This window comes from Homo sapiens, chromosome X (genome assembly GCF_000001405.40).
Source record: "Homo sapiens chromosome X, GRCh38.p14 Primary Assembly".
NCBI classification, from domain to species: Eukaryota; Metazoa; Chordata; class Mammalia; order Primates; family Hominidae; genus Homo; species Homo sapiens.
In genome coordinates this window covers 109,500,280-109,506,279 of record NC_000023.11, presented here as the reverse complement: position 1 = coordinate 109,506,279, position 6,000 = coordinate 109,500,280, and positions in this window count along the sequence as shown.

Sequence of the window (6,000 nt, the reverse complement as noted above, 5' to 3'; positions counted from 1 at the left end):
CAAGTACAGTCATGCTCTGCATCATGATGTTTTGGGCAATGACAAACCTCATATATGGTGGTGGTTCTATAAGATTATAATGGAAGCCAGGCATGGTGGCTCTCACCTGTAATCCCAGCACTTTTGGAGGCTGAGGCAGGAGGATCACTTGAGCTCAGGAGTTCAAGACCAGCCTGGGCAATATACTGGGACCCCATTCTCTACAAAAAATTAAAAAAAAATTATCCCGTCATGGTAGTGTGTGTCTGTAGTCCTGGCTACTCAGGAGAATGAGGTGGAAGTATCAATTGAGCCCAGGAGGTCGAGGCTGCAGTGAGCTGTGATCACACAACTGCACTCTAGCCTGGGTGATAGTGTGAGACTCTAAAAAAAAATTAAATAAAAATTATAATGGAACCAAAAATTCCTATCGCCCAGTGATGTTATAGCCATTGTAACATCATAATGTAGTTACCTTATTTATTTATTTTTTTTTACAAATTTAGTGTAGCCTAAGTGTACAGTGTTTATAAAGTCTACAGTAGTATACAGTAATGTCTTAGGCTGTCACATTCACTCAACATTCACTCACTGACTCACCCAGAACAACTTCCTTTCCTGCAAACTCCAGTCATGATAAGTGCCCTATACAGGTTTACCATATTTTATATTTTATATTGCACTTTTGCTGATGCTTTTCTAGGTTTAGATATGTTTTGATACAAAAATACTTACTATTATGTGTTACAGTTGCCTATAGGAATCAGTACTGTAATATGCAGGACAAGCGTGTAGCCTAAACAGTATGCTATCCCATGTACCCCAGGTGCGTAGTAGGCTATACATCTAGGTTTGAGTACGTACACTCTATGATGCTTGCACAATGATGAAATTGTCTGATAATGCATTTTTCAGAACATATCCCTGTCATTATGTGATGCATGACTGCACTTGGGATTGTCATTAGTGGTCCACCAGGATGACTAATCAAAGCTTAATCTCAGTATATCAATCATGGCCTAGTTAATAAGGCAAAAATATTTGAACATCCTGAATGCACTGTAGAAGGAGTCCATGATGTAGTGGAACTGGATTCTCTGATCATTTTGGGAATAATGGATTTTTGGAATTATAGAACACAGATGGTGACACCTAACCATTAGAAATAAGGGAATACAATTATCACAGTAAGCCACAGTGGCATAATGGCAACTCGAATATTCTGGAATGGAGAGAACTGTGGTAGCTAATTGGTAACAGATCCCTCAAAGTGAAATATATGGGCAGCCTATTAAAATGCTGCTTGTTTGATACATGTGGAAAAATTTTAGGTCTGTTGGACAAAAATCTAACTTGAATCAAAACAATGGCAATTCACAGCCTCTTGCCTAGTTCTTAGACTTAAGCTTGTTAATAGACTTGGAGCTTCTTAAATGGAGAGGTGGTTGCATCCTTTTGAAGAAGCACCCTATAATATGGCCATATGTATATACTGTCAATCTTACCCTAAGCTTTTCCCAAAGTGGCCTTCAGCCATGTACTAAGGGGACTGTGCAGTGGGGAAAGAAACATACCAGAATTTTAAAATTATCTATTATGTACTGGCTCTGATCCATTGGAACAAGGGATCCATTCAGTGGTTATTTCTATAGACATTAAACGTATAGTATGAACATATATACTTAGTAACTGGCAGAATCTCTACCTTGTCCCCACCTGAAGGATGAGGTCTCTTACGGTGGGCAGTGGCCAAGTAAAAGCCCTTGGAAATTCCCTTCATCCCACTCAAAGACAATAAACCAAAAGCAATACCATATCTCTGGAGGAACTGCAGAGATAAGACTAGAGAGATGCAGGGGTGATAACTTCTACCTCATCTCCATTTAACTCATCTAATTAACTGGTACAAAAGTGAGATAGGTTGTGGATAATGACAGCAAATTGTTACGGACTTATTCTGGTGATGATGCCAACCACAGCTCCAGTTCTGGATGTGGTATTTTTACTAAGGCAAATCAACACAGATTCTGGCCTGTTGTATACAGCTGTTGACTTGGAAATTGCTTCCTATTCCCATTCCTCTCAGTAATGAAAATCAGAAGTAGGGATGACTGTATTGTTTCCAGATCTATTCTAATTTTCCTATTCTTTATCATAATATAGTTGAGAGGGATCTTGTCCATCTTGATATCTCACAGATCATTATTGTTCTATTAAATTGACAATATTATGCTAATCAGATTTGATGATCAGGAAGTAGAAATAAAACTAGATACCTTAGTAAGATATGTTCATATATATGGTGGGACATAGTTCAAGATCCTCCCATGTAGATGAAGTTTCTAGGGGTCCCGTTTCAAGCATCTTGAGATATCCTTCTAAAAGGAAAGTTGCTGCACTTTACACGGCTCACCGTAAAGAAAAAGGCTTAATGTTTGGTGGGCCTTTTCAGATTTTGAAGGCAATATGCACTATATTTGAGCATGTTTAATTAGGTACTAAAGAAAGGCCCAGTGCAGAAAAGGGTCCCAACAGTGGGGCAAGCTGTGCTGCCACTTTGACCTTATGACTAGAAGAATAATAATAAGGACGAGTCTACAGAAGACAAAGTTTCTGAATGATGTCTCTGGAAATCTCCAATAAAAATATCACATTGCAGACCAAATGCTTGGAGTAAGTCCATGCTCTCCTTGACTGACAACAATTCTCTGTTTGAAAGTCAGCTCCTAGCTTGCTATTAGACCCTGGCAGGAACTGAATTCCTGACTACGTGACATAAGGAAACTATATGACCTGAACTTCTCCTTATAAACCGGGTGTGTTAACTGATTAACTGAATCATCAAATGAATATATTCATCAGTGTCCTGCTATAAAATTGAAGTGATATATACAAGACTGGGCACAAGCAGGTCTGAAAGGCATCCACTTGAGCAGGTTATTCAAGACTCCTATGGTACTTGCTCCTGGTACTTTACCAATTTCTCCTGAAACATACTCCTATGGCCTCATGGAAATTTCCCTATGAACAATTGCTGTGGTTTAAATGTTTTTGTTTCCTCCAAAACGCATGTGTTGGAAACTTAATTCCTACTGTAACAGTATTGAGAGGTAGGATCTAATTGAAGGTGTTTAGGTTATGAGGGTTCTGACTTTGTGAATGAATTAATGCTGCTATAAAAAGGGCTGCTGGGAGTGAGTTCTCTCTCCTGCTTTTCTGCTAGGTCAGGACGTAATGTTCCTACCTTCCAGAGGATGCAGCATTTAAGTTGCCATCTTGGAGGCAGATGGAACAGGCTCAAACCTGCTGGCACCTTGATCTTGGACTTCTCTGTGCCCAGGACTGTGAGAGAATAAATTTCTGCTCTTTATAAATTACCCAGTCTGTGGTATTCTGTTATAACAGCACAAAACAGACTGAGACAGAAATTGGCACCAGGGAAGTAGAGTGTTGCTATAACAAATACCTAAAGATGTGAAAGTGGCTTTGGAACTCGGTAATGGGTAGAAGAGGAAAAGTTTTGAAGTGAATTCTGGGAAAAGCCTATATTGCTATGAAGGAAGCATTAAGGGTGACCCTGGTGACGGCTCAGAAGAAGAAGAGAGCTATAGAGGGAAACTCAGTCTTAGAGATTATCTAAGTTGTTGTGAACTGAATATTGATAGAAATATGGGCAGTAAAGGCCATTCTGATGAGGTCTTTGAAAGAAATGAGGATTATCTTACTGGGAACTAGAGGAAGGGTCATTCTTATTATAAAGTGGCAAAAAATTTGGATGAATTGTATCCATGTCTGAGGGCTTTGTGGAAAGCAGGATTTAAGAGTGATGAACTAGGATATCTGGCAAAAGAAATCTTTAAGCAGGAAAATGTTGAAGCTGCTGCATGGCTTCTTGTAATTGTTTATAGTAAGAAGCGAGTACAGAGAAACAATTTAAAGATGAAATTTTTAATTAAAATGGAAGTAGAACATAAAGATTTGAAAAGTTTTCAGCCTGACTTTGTAAACAATAAAAAAGTGTGTTTAGAAGAGAAAACCAAGAGTGTTGCCAAGCTACTGTTTGATAAGGTTAGTATGGATAGAATGAATCCAGATGATATTCATCAAGACAATGGGAGAATGACCCCAAAGGCATTTCAGAGATCTTGGCGGATGCTATGTCCATTACAGGCCTAGAATGCCAGGGCCTTGAGGGGAGAATTGTTTTGAGAGAGAGGCCCAAGGTGCCTGGGAGACTTTGCTGCTTGCTGTTCAGGACGCCCTCATGATTTTGCTCCAACATTCTGGCACAGCACTCATCAGCCACCCCAGATGTGGCTCAGGTGGGCCCAAAAGCGGCTCAGGCTGTCACTGGGGAAGGTGCAAGCAGTGAACTTCACCAGTGTCCACGTGGTGCTAATTCTGCAGGCACACAAAATGCAGCAACTTGGAGACATGGCCTCTTCCACCCAGATTTCAAAGAATGTCTCAAACAGCCTTGGGACCACTGTAAAGACCACAGTGGCTGGCAGAACCACCACAGAGAATACCCACTAGGGCACTACTTAGTGGAGTTGTGGGGTCAAAGCTGCCTCTGAGACTCCATAACTGTGAGACAGAGCAGGCACCCCTTTTAGGGGCCTGCTGGGTGCCCCCCAACCCCACCGCTGACTGCCTTAAAGGCATGGAAATAAAGAAAGATTTGAGTCCCTTCAAGGGAAATACCAGGCACCTAGCTAGCACTGTAACCAGCAATTAGGGAAGTAAGTGAATAACCTGCTAAGTAAGAAGGTAATAATAGCATAAACAATAGTCACCCAAGTAAGTCAGAGTCACAAGATGTTTCATTCCCTATAGAAACTAGAGAGAATGTATTGACATATGTCCTTGAGTTGTTTTTCAGAAGCCACGGACTCCACCAGATGGAAATGCCAACCACTGTCATATAGACGTCAGACAAACTGAAATGAGAAAATGTATAAGGAAGTTCTAGAGATTCCTCACCCCTTAACTCATTTTGGAAATTCCTCTATCCCTGCCTTAAAAACCCTTGACTGTAAGCCGTCAGGGAGTTCAGGTCTTAAGCATTACTTGCCTGTTTTCCTTGCTTGGCCCCCTGCAATAAATGCCTTACTTTCTCTTGCTGCAAATCCCAGTATCAGTGTTTGGCTTTGTTGTGCACTGAGCAAGCAGACCCAGGTTCAGTAAGATGACAACTGTAGAGCTACCAGTGTATAACACCAGCCTGGGAAAACTGCAGGCACCTGACTTTAACCAATGAGAGTAATGCAGGCTGCACCTAGCAAAACTGTGGGGGTGGGGACACTAAGGAGCATTGAGGGTCCATTGCCCACATTAGTGTGTCTGGATGGTAGGACATGGAGTCAAATAAACAAACCTTAAGATCTAATGTTGTTTGCCCTATGGGGTTTTGAACTTACCTGGGACCTTTTGCTCCTTCTTTCTTTCCTTCTGCTCCCTTTTGGAATGTGAGTGTCTATCCTATGCCTATCCTACCATTGTATTTTGGAAGCACATAACTTGTTTGATTTAACAAGCTCACAGCTGGAGGGAAATTTGCCTCGGAGTGAATTGTGCTTTGAGTCTCACTCATATCTGATTTAGTTGAGACTCTGAATTGTAGACTTTTGGGTTGATGTTAGAACAAGTTAAGACCTTTGGGGCTATTGAGATGGAATTAATTTATTTGTATATAAGAAGGATATGAATTTTAAAGGGACAGGGGTAGAATACTATGGTTGGAATTTTTTTTTAGAGATGGAGTGTTTCACCATGTTGCCCAAGCTACACTTAAACTCCTGAGCTCAAGCGATCTTCCCACCTCAGCATCCTAACTAGCTGGGATTACAGGCAAGTACCACTGCATCTGGCCTGAATGTTTTTGTCCTCTCTAAAACTCATGTGTTAGAAATGTAATCCCCAATGCAGCAGTGTGTGGAAGTGTGGCCCAATAGGATGTGTTTAGGATGTCTTTAGGCCCAATAGGATGTGTTTAGGCTCCACCCACATGAATGAATTAAC